This window comes from Homo sapiens, chromosome 17 (genome assembly GCF_000001405.40).
Source record: "Homo sapiens chromosome 17, GRCh38.p14 Primary Assembly".
In the NCBI taxonomy this organism is placed as follows: Eukaryota; Metazoa; Chordata; class Mammalia; order Primates; family Hominidae; genus Homo; species Homo sapiens.
In genome coordinates, this window is record NC_000017.11 from 31569324 (window position 1) to 31585613 (window position 16290).

Below are 16290 nucleotides of genomic sequence, written 5' to 3' on the forward strand. Positions count from 1 at the left end.
TTTACACTTTTTGGAAGAAGGGCTATTAAGTTATATATATGTATACATTGCTTCCCCCCCCGCCCCGCCAAAGGAGTATAATTAGAGCATCTGAAACCAGATTATCCAATTAGTACATTTTTCTAATTAGCTGTTAGGATTTCGTGATGAGATAAATTATTTTAGATTTCCAAGTGGAACTTTGGCCACAGGGAGGCTCTAAGGAAGTACACAGGGGAGAAAAATAATGGGTTTTTAAAGTTTTGACTCCACCCACTCACCTGCTCCCCCAAAAACCTAATGTGCCTGCCCATGAGGCAGCAACAGTGACCAGAAAACAGTTTCTTTTCCTTGTTCTGAGTAAATGGAGTTGGAAGAATTATTCATTTATATTGGCTTTTCTTTGTTCCTGGTAATGAAGCAGGCAGACAGGGGTTGGCTTTAAATGCTATTTTTTCTACATTTTCATCAGTCATATTAGTAGCTGTTCTTTGGCAGAAAAAAAAATCTGGTGATCAGGATTAATTCAGAACCTATTTACTGTGAGCCTTGTATGTGCTTTCTCTGTGCCAGGTGGCAATGAAGACCGTCTGTCAGGGGGATCGGGGGGATGTCCTGTCAAGACCCAGGGGATGAAGTCAGGACCCAGCTTTTGCATTTTGTAACTGTGGTTGATGCAGGCCCACCATCCTTTGTCCAAAATTCTGGATACGCAAGAAAACTGGATACTGAACGTTGTTTTTGCCGCTAATTGAATGGGAAGACCTGACCCAAACTGACAGACTATTGGAGTCCATATTTATCCTGGGGAGTGTGAATACTCATGGGTTTCCCTGCAGAGATATTAATGTTTGATTATGGGTGCTGCCTTGCTGGGGTGTTACATAATATGTGGCATAGGCACCACATTCCCTTTCTAAAACTTGAAAAGTTCTGGAACACATGGCCTGAAGGTTTGGAGTAAGAGACCCTGCCCTGGAGTAGCGTCCACTTAAGACTACAGCAGCCGTGTGCTCAGAGTCCCTGCTCTGCCAGGGCCCGTTTCCACTTCAGCCATAGGAGGAGCCTGAAGGCAGATTGAGAGTCCAGCTGACCAGTGGGTGAGATGCCCAAACAGCTGTACCGCCACCAGGGCAGGTGACTTGGCTGCCCCATGACCCTCAGAGGCCTTCCCTCACCAGGTGCCAAGCAAAGATTGTTCAGAAGCAGATTCTGTTCTGCTGTCATTGTGAATACATCAATGAATGAGTACATCTATGTTCTAATAAAACTTTATGAGGGCCAGGTGCGGTGGCTCACACCTGTAATTCCAGCACTTTGGGAGGCCGAGATGGGCAGATCACTGAAGGTCCAGAGTTTGAGACCAGCCTGGCCAACATGGTGAAACCCTGTCTTTATTAAAAATACAAAAAGTAGCTGGACATGATGGCGGGTGCCTGTAATCTCAGCTATTTGGGAGGCTGAGGCAGGAGAATCACTTGAACCCAGGAGGTGGAGGTTGCAGTGAGCTGAGTTTGTGCCGCCGCACTCCAGCCTGGGTGACAGAGTGAGACTCTGTCTCAAAAAAAAAAAAAAAACCCAAAAAACAAAACTTTATGAAAACAGATGGTGGGCTGGGATGGCCCTTTGGCCAGAGTTTGCTGATGCCTTGTCAAAACGATAAATGCATCCTTAAACATACTGTTTTCTTCCACAGACTTTAGCCCTGCCATCTGCCTGCCTGGTCTGCTTGTCTTGTTCCCCACCCCTGGCCAAGTGGAGTTGCCTTAAAGAGATAAAAGTTGTGCCTCTAGTGTCAGTACCCACCCCTTGCTTGGCTCCTCCAGATGGTCTGGAAACATAGATGGAAAGCAGGCGCTGCCCTCACCGACCTGGCCTCGGTAGCAGGAGTGTGTTTTTGTGTGGACAACTGCAGTTGGGCCCAGGTCCAGCCTTGCTGACGGCTACTCACTTGGGCCTCCACCCACTGATGAATTTTGGGGGCAGAGCCAAGCCCCAAGATATGTTGGCTGGCAGCCTGGGGCCAGGCAGGGCTGCTGTTGTGGGAGCCCAGTCCCAGGTGGGTTTGTGAGGTGTACGGGGAGTGAGGGGTTGAGAATGAGTGTTTTCAGAGCTGATGTGTTCTTAGCAAAAGAATTTCTGGCAGAGAGAGGTTGATTATCGTAAACCCAGCGGCTCTGATGGATGAGTTTCAGGTCTCCTGGCTTGTTCATTCCCAGCCTCGGAATGTCCAGCAAGGGCGGGGCCAGCCTGCGAGGCCAAGACCTCTTTTCACTGCATCAGAAGTTTAAATCCAGTTGAGCCCTCTGACTTGCACCTCTGTAGTGGTCTGGCCTGGGGAAGACTGGCTGGGGTGGACAGAAGGAGGGCGGGACCCTCAGAGCCCACTCTTCTAGTCTGTGTGCTGGAATCACCCCTGTCCTCCCCAACCTCCAACCCCGTCAAGCTGCACCAAGGATGTTTGGCCTCTGACTCAAAGAAGGCCTGGCCTTTCCAGGCTGCAGGGCCAGATCCTCTCAGCCAGCCCCTGCAGCAGGCCCCAGCATCCCAGAGAGGCAGCGGGTCCCTGTATGTGCTCAGCACCTTCTCTCTGTAGGCGGTTTCTCTCCCAAGACATTTGAGACTTTTGCCCTCTGCCTGGTCACCTTCTTTCCTAGCCAGGATAGGGCTGGTGGATGGTTTTGTTTTTTTTTTTCCTTAAAGCCAATTCCAAACAAGGGCTGATATTTAGTTGGCCTTTCTTTTTCTTCTCTCATGGTTTTGTGGGTTGCTGGCACTTTAGGGACTCTGTTCAGAGTGGAGCCTCCTTACTCTACAGCTCGCTGGTAAGCCCTGGTGGCCCATCAGCCCACAGAAGGGGGCACTCACTCAGGTGAGTATGAATATTCACACTCCCCAGGATAAATATAGACTCGAAATAATAGTTTCTAGTCAGTTTGGGTCAGATTTTCCCACTCAGTGACAAAAACAACTTTCATTATCCAGAGTTTTGTTTGAGTTGAGAATTTTGAATAAAGGGTGGTGGGTCTGCATCAACCACAGTTACAATATGCAAGAGCTGGGTCGTGACTTCATCCCTTTGGTCTTGGTGGGACATCACCCTGACCGGTCCCATTGCCACCTGGCACATGATGCACCTCAGTCGTCAGCGTGTGCCCAGCCCAGGGCCATGCAGAGTGAGCACTCAGGGAAGGCGCATGGAACTGGACTGGGTGGCTGGTGTGTTTGGTGATAGGTTAGCTCTGCTGTCAAAGCCAAGCCCAGGTGGGTCACTGTCACATACCCAGCACGGTGTGAGGAGCTCCTCCAGCCACTCTCAGGGGCAGCTCTCCTGACCCTGCCTCCTTGATTTTGGACCAGGCGCTTTTGTTTCTGGGCCAAGCACCTGCCTGTAGCAATGGGTGTGGGGACTTGGGTTTTGCTTTGCTAGTGGAGAATATGGCTGGGATCTGGGTTAGGGCAGAAAGCTCAGGTAGATGACAGGTGCCAGAGCAGTGGTTCAAACTTGGGAGAATCACAGCAGGAGCCTATTAACAATGCAGATTCCAGGGCCCCTTGATAGACCTGGGAAGGGGGGTGCAATCAGCATTGTTAATAAGTTTGTGTGATTGTGAGGCAGGTGGCCCCAGGATTGTGCTCTGGTTGGGTGGACCAATAGGTAAAGCACAGTGTGATGAGCTTTGGGATGATGGAATGGGGAGAAGGAAGGGGCTGTAACCCAGGGAGAGTCTGGGGTCAAGGAAGGTCACCCAGAAGAGGTGAGCTGAGTCTTGAAGAACAAAGCAGGAATGGTAATAATAGCTAATCTTGATTGAACGCTTTGTGCCAGGCACAGTTCTAAGCCTTTTCCATGAATGAACCCATTCAGTCCTCCAGACAACCCCTGAAATAGGTAGTAACCCCAGACTCACACAGGAACAGACAAAAGCACTCGGGGTTAAGTTGCTGGCCCGAGGCTAGTGAGTGGTGAGCTAGGTCTTGCCTGCTTATTGCACGGCACCACGTGGGGTAAGGTGTGCCAGGCAGCGGGAGCAGCTCAGCACAGTGATGCAGGTGTGCTGTTCAGTGGTTCAGATGATGCAGAACCTAGTGTGGGGGGACTGCTTCAGTTCTGCTTTGTTGGTGGAGAATATGTCTGTGATCTTGGTTAGGACAGAAAGCTCCGGGTGGATGACAGGTGCCAGAATGTCAGTTTGAGAGGGCTGAGGCTGGAGCTGGCAATCGGGATAGCAGGCACACTTCCTCACAGTCTGAACTGGAAGGAGCGTGGAGTGTTGGGGAGAAGATGCAGTGTCAGTGCCCAGGGTGCAGCGAGGCACGGGCTGGCACCCTGACCCAGCCCCCTTCCCAGAGGGGAAGAATTCGCTATGGCCCAGCCCCTGCCCTTGGGGTCTGAGGGGATCCACTTTTGTTAGGAGCCTGCTACACACTTTGCTTTCTTTCGATCCTTACATTGCCCTTCCAGGTGGGCTTATTATTCCTATTACAGATAAGAGAGCTGAGGCTGGGAAGCCGAGTAATTTACACAGGGTCAGGTCATACAGCAAGTTAGCAGGTAGTGGTGCCAGCAGCTGGCTGTCTTTTGTGGGGATGTGTTTTCACCACAGCGGTGGCAACCTGTGTCCTGACAGGCCAGGTTCCTGCATGGACAGTGGGGCCCCCAAAGAGCAGGTGCAGTGCCAGGCTGGACAGATTCCAGCTGTGCCGGGGCCTTGGGCAAAGTGGCCTGGCCTCAGGAGACACGTTTCCTGTTGCTGGGTGACATTCCACAGGTGGGAGGCACATGCAGGACCTCATTCCCTAGGGGCCTTCCTGGTCTGGGCCCTGATGCCCTGACGCTGGGGTTGACCCTCTACTGCCCTGGAGGCTCACCTGGGCCTCGGGACAGAAGGGATTGTCCCATTAAGGAGAATCCTCTACGAGTCTCTGATTCTGGAAGCTCTTGTTTTTTATCCTCCCATACAAAAAACAAATTGGCCACCAGTCTCTTCCCTTCTTTTTGGCCACTGTCTCACCATCTCCTTCACCCAACCTTGGTTTCTTTCAGCCTGTGCTTCCCAGCAGAGCCTGTGGGCTTGTTGATTTGAACCCAGAAACCACCTAGGACATTCCAGAGGTCTTCACACTTGTCTTTGTTGCCCATTGTAGGCCGTTTTCATAGAAGGGTATTGGGAGGACCTGCCTTCCCACTCAGGCCAATGTGAAGCTGTTGCTCTTTTGCTAAGGGCAGGGTGGGATATGGCCGAGAATTGGTGGGCGGGCCTGAGATCCATTCAGCAGCACCCCAGGGCGTGCTGTTTCTCACAGGTTGCAGCCTCTTCCAGCCCCTTTGCTTTCTGTGACAGAGCTGAAAGTCTCATTTCCTCTTTGGCTTTCCCTTTGAAATGGGAGAGAGGGTGGTGGGAGCTTAGCTCCTTCCAGGCCCATTTTACAGGCAGAGTAACCAAGGCCGCGACTGCTGGAGAGAAGCGGAACCGGAGTTCCCGTGCCCATTCCTGTTGGAATCTCCTGTCTGTGTGCCGTTCTTTAAGATGGGCTGGAGAGAGTCGGGGCAGCTCTTCTCCCGGGTTTTCAGGCCTGGGTTGCTCTTCTGGGCACTTCCTGGTGTTTTCTTCTCTTTGCCTGAATCAGGCCTGGCCTCAGGCCTGGTTACAAGAAGGTTGGAGGCTGGCTGTCTTGTGTTCATGTGTCACGCCAGGCCTGAGACCATCATTGTCTCTCTGAGATGGTCCACGCCCCTCCTGTGAACACAGGGGCTACAGACTATAGTATAGTTCTTGCCACGTTCCCGAGTTTTGGGGGCTGCTCTCCACATTGGGATTCCACCAGGATGCTGGTCTGCAGTTTCCTGCAGGCAGAAGGCGCTGGGTTCTGAGTTGGCTTTAGGTGGAACCCAGGTCATTCCTGGGTATGCCTTGGGAGGGCGGCGAGGCTGGCCGCAGCTGGGCCCGGCATCGGAGAAAATTGTGTCTCTCTGGAGACCCTGCAGCCTTCCCACCCACCAGGGAGCTTTCCATGGGCTGTGGGGAAGGCGTCAGTGTCGGGTGAGGGAACACCAGCTTCACCTCGGCTCATCTGGGCGTGGCAGACGACTGCTTCCTCACCTGGAGAGTGTTCAAGGACAGCAAGAAAAATGAGGGACTTTCAGGGGCAGCTGTGTTTTCTGACTCAGTCATAATGCCCCTAAAAATCCTTATTGTTCTTGCAGTGTGCATCGGGCAGCGGCCAGCAACCTGCCTCTCACCCACCTGGCCCTTCTGGGAGGACCGGGACTTCCTGGGGTCAGATTGGAATGTACGTCCAAAATAAGAGTGAATGGGGATTTGCTGATTATTAAAACAATTTTGTTTGCGTGCATTTTTAGCATCTTCTCTTCTGGTGGAGGATTGGAGTGGCTGAGGGTCGGGAGGGCTGGACATCAAGATATTCCTGTGCAGGTTGGAGCCCAGGAGGGTGCAGGAACTCCCTGGTTTGTGTGCAGTGAAGGCCTGGAAGAGCCTAGCTGCACGTGCAGTGCCCAAGGAAGGTCATCTTCCGGGTCAGTGATGTTAGAGGCAACAGAGTTGGGCTGGACAAGATGCCCCCCAACCTTTCCTGAGAAGTTGAGGCAGGAGTAGAGGAGGCATCTATCTGCGCAGGAACTTGCATTGTATTTTAAAATAGAAGGCAGCCTGGCCAACATGGCAGAACCCCATCTCTGCTAAAAATACAAAAGTTAGCCGGGTGTGGTGGTGTGTGCCTGTAGTCCCAGCTACTCGGGAGGCTGAGGCATGAGAATTGCTTGAGCCCAGGAGTTGCAGGTTGCAGTGAGCCAAGATTGCACCACTGCACTCCAGCCTGGGCAACACAGTGAGACCTTGTCTCAAAAAATAAATAAAATAAAATAGAAGGAGCCTCAGAATCCACTGTCTGTCTGAGACCCAGTGAACTAGCCATTTTGAAAATAGAACAGTGAATTGAGGGTCTTTCCCCCTCTACTGTGACCCTGGAGCTTGCTTTTCCTTGACTGAAAGTCCTCCATCCTTATTTCACTTCATGGATCTCCTCCATTCTCAGCAGGTCTCCCTACCCCTGCCCTATCCAGCCCCACCCTGCAGATACAGTCATGCACTGCCTAACGATGTTTTGGTCAACGAGGGACCGCATGTAGGACAGTGGTCTCATAAGATTATAACACTGTTTTTACTGTGCCTTTTCTGGTTAGGTACACAAACGCTTGCCATTGTGTTCTAATTGTCTACAGCATTCAGGATAGGAACGTGCTGTACAGATGTGTAGCCTAGGAGCAATGGGCTCCCCCACCTAGCCTAGGTGTGCAGCAGGCTATTCACCATCTAGGTTTATGTAAGCACACTCTGTGAGGTTGGCACAATAACAAAATCACCTAACAATGCCTTTCTCAGGATGGATCCCCGTTGTTAAGTGACACATGACTCTATTTTGACCAGCCAAGGCTTTTGGAGGTCCTGGGGGATTGTCGAGAAGCAGAAATACCTTTTTTTAAATTATTATTATTATTTTTATTTGTTTTGAGATGGAGTCTTGCACTGTCGTCTGGGCTGGAGTGCAGTGGCGCGATCTCAGCTCACTGCAACCTCCACATCCCAGGTCAAACGATTCTCCTGCCTCAACCTCCCAAGTAGCTGGGATTACAGGCGTCTGCCACTATGCCCAGCTAATTTTTTGTATTTTTAGTAGAGACGGGGTTTCACTGTGTTGGCCAGGCTGGTCTCGAACACCTGACCTCATGATCCACCTGCCTCGGCCTCCCAAAGTGCTGGGATTACAGGCATGAGCCACTGCGCTCGGCTGAATCCGATTTTTCTGAGACCTATTTTTTTATTTTTTATTTTTTTGAGACACAGTCTCACTCTGTTACCCAGCCTGGAGTGCAGTAGCTTCATCACAGCTCACTATAGCCTTGACCTCCAGGACTCAAGGGATCCTCCCACCTCAGCCTCCCAAGTAGCTGGGATTTACAGGCACCCACCACCATGCCCGGCTAATTTTTGTATTTTCAGTAGAGATGAGGTTTCACCATGTTGGCCAGGCTGGGTCTCAAACTCCTGACCTCAGGTGATCCACCTGCCTCGGCCTCCCAAAGTGCTGGATTACAGGCATGAGCCACTGCGCCTGGCCAGAAATACTTTGTTAAATCAATTTGTGATATGCCTGCCTTCCCCAACAATGCCAGTCCACCAAACCCGAAGCAACAGAATCCTGCTCTCCAGGGGAGACTGGGCTGGTGGCTTGCAGTGAAGGACAGGTGGGGAGATGGACAAAGTGACAAGCAGGACTCTGCATGCCCCAGTGGGTCCACTCTATGTCTTACTGCCCTCATGGGTCAGCAGGGGAAGTTTACCCTTGAGGTATTTCCAGGGTCTCTAGGTGCAGCTCAAAAGCTCTCGTCACTGGAGGAGATGACCACGTGTGCTCAGCATTTGCAGAAGTCCAACTGCCACGATCTTCCCTGCAGCCCAGCCCTGGCTCCAGTGGGCACTGGCCGGTGCTACTGTGACTACCTCCACATGAGCTCTCCCAGAGACAGTTTTGAAGGAGCTGGGTTTGCTCAGGAGCCTTGGCTTTTTTCTGCACAGGGCAAGGACAGCTCCAAGGTAAAGTTTAAACATGATGGCATTTATCCTTTCTTGGTAAGGGATAGGTGGGGCTCCCATGAAATGCTATTCTCGCAACCTCCAACGGACAGGGGTGTTGCAAAGGTTCCTTCATCCCCGATCAGCTTCCCTGCCATTTGCTCCCCTCAACCATCCCCTCCCATGGGGCCCCTTTCTCCTGCCCTTCATTCCCCTGAACCTCCTTGTTCTTACATGTGTTCCTCATTCTTTTTTTTTTCCTTCTTGACATAGAATCTTAACTCTGCCACCCAGGCTGGAGTGCAGTGGCCTGAACCAGGCTCACTGCAACCTCTACCTCCTGGGCTCAAGCGATCCTCCCACCTCAGCCTCCCGAGTAGCTGGGACTACAGGCGCACACCACCATGCCTGGCTAATTTTTGCATTTATTGTAGGGACAGGGTTTTGCCATGTTGCCCAAGCTGGTCTCAAACTCCTGGGCCCAAGCAATCCTCCTGCCTTAGCCTCCCAAAATGTTGGGATTATAGGTGTGAGCCACTGCACCTGGCCAGTTCTTCATTCTTTACCACAAAACATTTGCAAAAGATAATACATCAACTTTTTTGGTTTTTTCTTTTTTTTTGAGATGGAGTCTCACTCTGTCACCCAGGTTGGAGTACAGTGGCACAGTGGCATGATCTCGGCTCACTGCAACCTCCGCCTCCCAGGTTCAAGTGATTCCCCTGCCTCAGCCTCCTGAGTAGCTGGGATTACAGGTGCCCGCCACCACGCCCAGCTAATTTTTTGTATTTTTAGTAGAGATGGGGTTTCACCGTATTAGCCAGGATGGTCTCTATCTCCTGACCTCATGATCCACCCTCCTTGGCCTCCCAAAGTGCTGGGATTACAGGCGTGAGGCACGGCGCCCAGCCTACGTCAACTTTTTAAAAGAGGCAATATATCAAACATAAAACTGATTACTGTTTTTTCCCAATTATAAAATAATTGCCTTCTACTATAGGGCATTTGAAAAATACAAAGGGGCCAGGCTTGGTGGCTCATACCTATAATCCCAGCACTCTGGGAGGCCTAGGTGGGCTGATCACTTGAGTTCAGGAGTTTGAGACCAGCCTGGGCAACATGGCGAAAACGCCGTCGCTACAAAAAATACAAAAATTAGCTGGGTGTGGTGGTGCATGCCTGTAGTCCCAGCTTCTCAGGAGGCTGAGGTGAGAGGATTGTTTGAACTCGCGAGGTGGTGGTTGCAGCGAGCCAAAATCGCTGCATGGCACTCCAGCCTTGGCGACAGAGCCAGACCCTGCCTCCAAAAAACAAAACAAAACAAAACAAAAAGAGATGGAAAGGGCTTATAAATGCCCATACCTAGAGATAATGTCTGCTAATTAAATCTATCTTTCCAGCCTTTTTAACTCATGCCTGTACTTCCCCACCCAGTTAGCAGGATTGGGACTTTTAAAAGGGTCAGGCTCATAACTCATTTGAGCAATGGCCCTGTGCCCTCAGGCCAGAAAGCCTTTATTTTCTTTTTACCAAGCAGGATATGCTGTGGGCCGCTGCTGGCCTCTGGCCAGGAAGCTCAGTGATCTTGCTGGAGGGTGTTTGAGCAGCACCAGGTCTCTCTAAACCAGGATTGATGAAATTGTCAGTGAGGATGCCGGACAAGAGGGCTTTATCCCGTCTGATTTATAAGTGGGCGGCTGCATTGCTTCTTGACCTGGCTGCACAGAAGAATCACTTGAGAGCATTAAAAACATGCCAATGCCTGGTCCCATGCAGGACCCATTGGATCTGAATTGCTGGGGAATGAAAGGGCCCAAAGACTGGTATCTTTGTTTTTGTTTGTTGTTTTTTATTTGTTGTTTGTTTTTTTAACACAGGGTCTCTCTCTGTCTCCCAGGTTGGAGTGCAGTGGCTCGATCTTGGGTCACTGCAGCCTCAATCTCCGGGGTGCAAGTGATTCTCCCACAGCCTCCCAAGTAGCGTGTGGTGTGTGCCACCGCGCCTGGCTGGTGGTTGTTTTTGTTTTTGTTTTTGTTTTTGAGACAGAGTCTTGCTCTGTGGCACAGGCTGGAGTGCAGTGGTGCGATCTCGTCTCATGGCAACCTCTGCTTCCTGGGTTCAAGTGATTCTCCTTCCTCAGCCTCCCGAGTAGCTGGGATTACAGGTGCCCACCACCTCGTGCGGCTAACTTTTGTATTTTTAGTAGAGACAGGGTTTCACCATGTTGGCCAGGCTGGTCTCAAACTCCTGGCCTCAAGTGATCTGCCCGCCTCAGCCTCCCAAAGTGCTGGGATGACAGGCATGAGCCACCACGCCCAGTGCCTGGCCATTTAAAAAATTTTTTTTGTAGAGACGAGGTCTCACTATGTTGCCCAGGCTGGTCTTGAAGTCCTGGGCTCAAGCTTCCCAAAATGCTGGGATTATAGGCATGAGCCACCACACCTGACCAGTTATTATTTTTTTTTTTCTTATGTTCCTCAGGTGAGTCTCTTAAGCAATCAGAGGAGAACTGTTGGGTTAAATGCCCACAAGCTAGAGATGGAAGAGGTTTCCTCCAGCTTTGCCTTCAGAGCCCGATCAAGGGATGTGACCATTTGCAGTTGGCCAACTTTCATTTCCGTTACTGTCTCTGCTGCTCAGTCATCTTTTGATCCTCATTTTGCAAGCAGAAAACTGAGGCTAAGGGGATCGGGGGACTTATCTGAAGACACAGAATATGGCAGAGATGAGATGTAAAATACACAACTTCTGACCCTCCAGATTAGTGCTGTTTCAGTAGTACTAGTCATTAGTATTCATGATGAGCATATGGATCATAAGAAGCATATTCTTGTGCTTAATAATAATTGGACACTTGGTCATCACAGTATGCTGAGGCGTGGGTAGGGGCTGCCCCAGCAGGGTGAGTCATCATCCCCTAGTTTCCCAATGCTCTGTGTCCCCTGCCAGCCAGCCTGGACCCACAGCTGCCCGCAGCCTGCCCTGTTGCACTAATCCCAGCTGTGGGCACGGTGAGATTTGGCCCCATTTTACACATGAGGAACAGGCTCAGAACACTCAAGAGGCTTGGCCCATGTCACCCAGCTCTCCTTGCCTGGACAGAGGCATCTAGGAAGGAACACAGCCCTGCATGGGGCTTGCTTGTCTGAGTCCTCAGGGACAGAGCTCTACTGGGGGTGCCCAGGTCTCTAGCAGACTGTCCCTGCCCCTCTCTCCTTCCTGCCCAGCTCAGCTCCAGAGGCCTGGCCTGCGGGCAGGCTGGGCAGGCAGCCAGCGCAGGGAGCTAACGATGGGTGCATTGTCGGCTCCAGGAAGTGGTCAGCTGTTCCCTGGCAGGTCTGCAGAGCCGGAGGACCAGCCTGCCTTGCTCGTGGAGGGTAGAGATAGAATCTGGGAGCTCAGAACACCATTTTCCCGGAGCCCAGTGGCTCTGGGCCAGCCCTCGGGCTTCCTTTGGAAGGGAGGGCCCCGTGTACTCCTCCGCTCCTTCCTTGCTTGGCATTGGCCCTCTCCCTCCTCAGTCTGGCTCTCACCGTCCCCCGGCCCAGCACTTTGCAGCAGAGTGTACACTCTTGGCAGCGATGTCCATTAAACCTGCTTCCCAGAAAGCAGCATGGCTGTACAGGCAGATTCAGCCAGCACCTTAGTGGGAGATGGGGCAGTGGGCATCAGCTCAGGCTTTTCTTGCCCAGGTTCCCTGGGGAGCTGGGTTGGAAGATAGCCCTAAGCTGCCTTGGCTTCCTGCTTCCTGGATCAGAAGTGCCCTCAGCTCAGTCAGCAGCCTAGCCGCTGGACAAGGCTGAGACAAGCGCTTTGACCTCCTGGAGTTGGGCTGGGACGAGCCTTTGCCTGGGAGTCTGATCAAGGCGGTCACTGAGCTGAGAACCTGGGGTAAAGCTCCCTGCTGAGCCTGTTGCCTCATTTGTTTGATGGGTGCCATAGTTCCCTGTAGGAATGTGGGTACTTTCTAGGCTTCTTCCAAATAGATACAAGAAATTGTGGCTGCCTTTCCCTTCCCGGCCAGGAGTACACTTCAGCAGAGAACTCAGTGATGCCTGGCATGGGGAAGATGCCCAGTGAATGGTGGTTGCCCCACACGGCTCAGGAAATGAAGTTTGGGTCACAGCCTGAGGATGGTGCCTTCCATCCTTGACCCTGCAAGGACAACCTTTCCTGACAGTCTCCTCCCTGGGTGAAGTATTGGGACAGTGGCTCTGGACTGGAAAACTGAAGCTTTACCTCTTTGCTCTGGATTCCCATCAGGTCTAGATTGCTGAGGCCCAGCGCCCACAGAGGCATCTTCCCCTCTAGGGGGTTTGTCCTATAAGCCCGGACTCCGTCAGCTCCGAGGCACTCCTGCTGGGCCTGGGCCAGAGTGGCTGATGTGGAACTGCTCCCTCCCCTGCCAGCTTCCTTGGGGTGCAGACAGCCCAGCACAGGCAGGAAGGGCTTTCTGTTTGGCTGGACTGGTGGGGAAGCAATTAGTGCTTACTTTCTGTTTTGATTCTTGTAGCTAATAGGCAGAGTTTGTGATGTCACGGAAAAGCAGCCTTGGGCCCGCGTGGGTTTGAGGTCTGTCCCTGATAGTCTGGCCAATGTGGAATTGTCTGGAGGTAGGGGTGTATGCTGACACTACTCCCTGGGTATGAGGTGGCCATCTGTTGGCTTTCCATGCCCCCTTCTGATAATACCTCTTTTAATACCTCTTTTTTCTGTTAATAACTTCAGGAGATCACTTCTCCCCTACCCTGTATCTCTGGGGTTCTGGTGTGGCCAACCCCAAACCCTGGCTTTAGACACTGGCATGTGTTCCAGGCCTGGAGGCCAAGTCCTGAGACTCTGCCATGGGACATCTGCAGCAGTTATGGGGAAAGAAGCATTCTTTTTCTGAGGGAGTTGCTGTATTGATAGGATGTAGGCTGGGAACTGCTGGTGGCCATCCTGTCCTCAACTTGACAAAGCCAACAAAGAGGAAAGAAAATGAAGAGATGAGGCCAGGCACCGTGGCTTGTAATCCCAGCACTTTGGGAGGCCCAGGTGGGCGGATCACAAGGTCAGGAGATCGAGACCATCCTGGCTAACTCAGTGAAACCCCATCTCTACTAAAAATACAAAAAAATTAGCTGGGCATGGTGGCGGGTGCCTGTAATCCCAGCTACTTGGGAGGCTGAGGCAGAAGAATGGCATGAACCCAGGAGGCGGAGCTTGCAGTGAGCTGAGATTATGCCACTGCACTCCAGCCTGGGCGACAGAGCAAGACTCCATCTCAAAACAAACAAACAAAACAAAGAGATGGAGAGTATGGATCCAGACATCAGTGAGCCCCTGGATCCAGCCATGCCTGAAACCAGCTGCAGCCTGGACTAACCTGATTTTGTGAGCCAATACATTTCTTTTCTTTTTTCTTTTCTTTTCTTCCTTCCTTCCTTTCCTTTTTCTTTTTCCTTTTCTTTTTTCTTTTCTTTTTTTAGAGACAGGGTCTTGCTCTGTCATTCAGGCTGGAGTGCAGTGGTGCAATCATAGCTCACTGCAACCTCAAACTCCTGGGCTCAAGCAATCCTCCTGTCTCAGCCTCCTGAGTAGCTGGGACCACAGGCACATGCCACCACACCCGGCTAATTAATTTTTTTTTTTTCTAGTGATGCGGTCTTGCTGTGTTGCTCAGGCTGGTCTCAAACTCCTGGCTTCAAGTGATCCTCCCACCTCAGCCTCCCAAAGCACTGGGATTATAGGTGCGAGCCAGTGTGCCTGTCCTTTTTTCCCTAAAACCAGCCTGAGTTGGGTTTCTGTCACAGAAAGGGTTTTAATACAGGCAGTGTTTTTCTTTGGTCTTGTATTTTTTAAAATAAACTTTATTGAGGTATACTTTACATGTAACAAAACCCACCCGTAAGTGTATAATTCATAAGTTTTGTCAAATGCGTGCACCCTTGTAACTATTGCCACAATCATGATGTGGAATATTTCTTATTTGCCCCTAAAAGTTTCTTTATCCCCTTTATGACCAATCCCTCTGACTCAGACAACCTTGATCTGCCTTTGTTTTGCAGATTCATTTTGCCTTCTCTAGAATTTCATGTAAAGGTCATCATATAGCATGTACTCTTTTGTGTCTGGTTTCTTTTACTCAGCATGTTTTTGAGACCCATCCACATGTTGCATGCATCTCAGTAGTTCGTTCCTTTTTATTGCTGGAAGGCATTCTATTATTCTATTGTATGGGTGTGCCACGGTTTGTTTAGCCATTTATCAGGTGACAGATATTTGAGCTGTTTCCAGATATTGCCTATTATGACTAAGGCTGTTTTGAACATTCACGTATGTTTCTTTCATTCGTTGTATGGGCGTATGTTTCAATTTTTATATCTAGACATCAGCCTCATTTTACTGTTGAGGAAACAGGGTCAGAGAGGTAGAATGACCTGTCCAAGGTCACATGGCTGATGAACCTAGGGCTGGTGCAGGGAACACAGCTGGACCAGTGAGGTAGCTGGAGGAATGGCACCTTTCTCCTTTTGGGTATTTGGGTGTCCCTTCATAAATGGAGCTTGGGACTGCTTGGAAGGTGCTCATGGAATCCTGGTAGCCAAGAACATCATTGCTGGGAGGGACTGTCAAGATGTCTCCCAGCGTCTGTTCTCCCTTTCTCCTAATAGTAACACTCCCTTTCCTTGGAGAACTGCTCCCCTATCGCTCTATCTGGTCCTGGAGCATTTTAGCCTTCTTGGTAACCCAGTGGTCACATGACCTTGGTGAGCCAATCACACCCTGGATTGGTTCAGGGACTGGACATGAGATCCAATCAGAGTCCTTCCCTGGAATATTTGGAATTTTTCCCCGAAACTCTAAGGAGGATATTTTGGCCTTAAGCTAAGTTGAAATTAATGCATCTTATCCAGTGTTAAAGAAAAAGCTGGAAATGTGGGTGGGTGGCCCTGGGACCCTGAGAGGTAGGTGCCTACCATGTGCCAATGATCATGTGCCATAATTCTCACCTTTCACCTGTCTAGACCAATGTTATTTTCCCCCTGTGGATTCCAGGGCTTGAAAGATAATATCTACTAAACCCCATACAGGAAGCCAGAATCCACTTCCCCAAATGTATTCTTCAAGGCATATGCACAACTCACTGTCTCAGCTGACTGCTCCATCACTACACAAGCCAAGGGAAGGACCTGGAGTTGAAATCATTCCAGCCGTAGGCAAAGAGGACGATGATGATGATGATGATGATGATGATGATGATGATGATGAGCTTGGCACCAACAAATTATGGACTCCTCCCAGAGGTCTGGAGGATGTCAGGTTGGCAATCTCAGTTTAGTCCAGCTGCCCATTTCACAGATGCTTCAGCCAAGGAAACTGAGGCTCGGAGAAGTTAAGGCCTGGCTGGAATGTGGCTGTGTCACATGCATCTTGCTTGCCTCATCAGATCCTCGCAGCTCCCCCACCCGTCAGACCATTGGCTGCTTGCTGGGCCTTGGCCACAGCCAGGGCTGAAGGACTCCATGGGGTCCCCGCAGTTGTTTCCACAGCTAAAGCCGACCAGCTGCTTTTCCAGCCTGACTTCTCTGAGACCACATCCCAGGAGGACGTGGGACCTGGCTCCCACATGGCTGCTAAAGGGGCTGGAGAATGCAACCCAGAAGTGGGGTGGGGGCGAGAGAGTTCTATGGGATGACCTTTGAGCAATAGGAAATGGGAGGGTAAATTCCTT

The 16290-nt window shown here is 50.9% G+C and overlaps 1 long non-coding RNA gene and 2 other non-coding genes across 3 annotated transcripts, besides 2 other annotated features; all 3 read left to right on the forward strand.

The window, feature by feature from the left end:
• Window positions 1-1818: 1818 nt before the first annotated feature.
• On the forward strand, window positions 1819-6336 carry MIR365BHG (MIR365B and MIR4725 host gene). Its single transcript, NR_186556.1, has 3 exons — window positions 1819-2038; window positions 2762-2851; window positions 6188-6336. It is a non-coding gene; the product is annotated as an MIR365B and MIR4725 host gene (long non-coding RNA).
• Window positions 4043-4662: an enhancer, noted in NCBI's record as "H3K4me1 hESC enhancer chr17:29900385-29901004 (GRCh37/hg19 assembly coordinates)". NCBI's record gives its function as "activates a minimal SCP1, AML or CMV promoter by ChIP-STARR-seq in primed H9 embryonic stem cells {active_cell/tissue: H9 hESC(primed)}" and the evidence as "EXISTENCE:reporter gene assay evidence [ECO:0000049][PMID:30033119]".
• Window positions 5946-6035, forward strand: MIR4725 (microRNA 4725). Its single transcript, NR_039878.1, has one exon. It is a non-coding gene; the product is annotated as a microRNA 4725 (primary transcript).
• On the forward strand, window positions 6088-6198 carry MIR365B (microRNA 365b). Its single transcript, NR_029856.1, has one exon. It is a non-coding gene; the product is annotated as a microRNA 365b (primary transcript).
• Window positions 11399-11448: an enhancer, noted in NCBI's record as "active region_12017". NCBI's record gives its function as "activates an Ori minimal core promoter by ATAC-STARR-seq in GM12878 lymphoblastoid cells {active_cell/tissue: GM12878}" and the evidence as "EXISTENCE:reporter gene assay evidence [ECO:0000049][PMID:35858748]".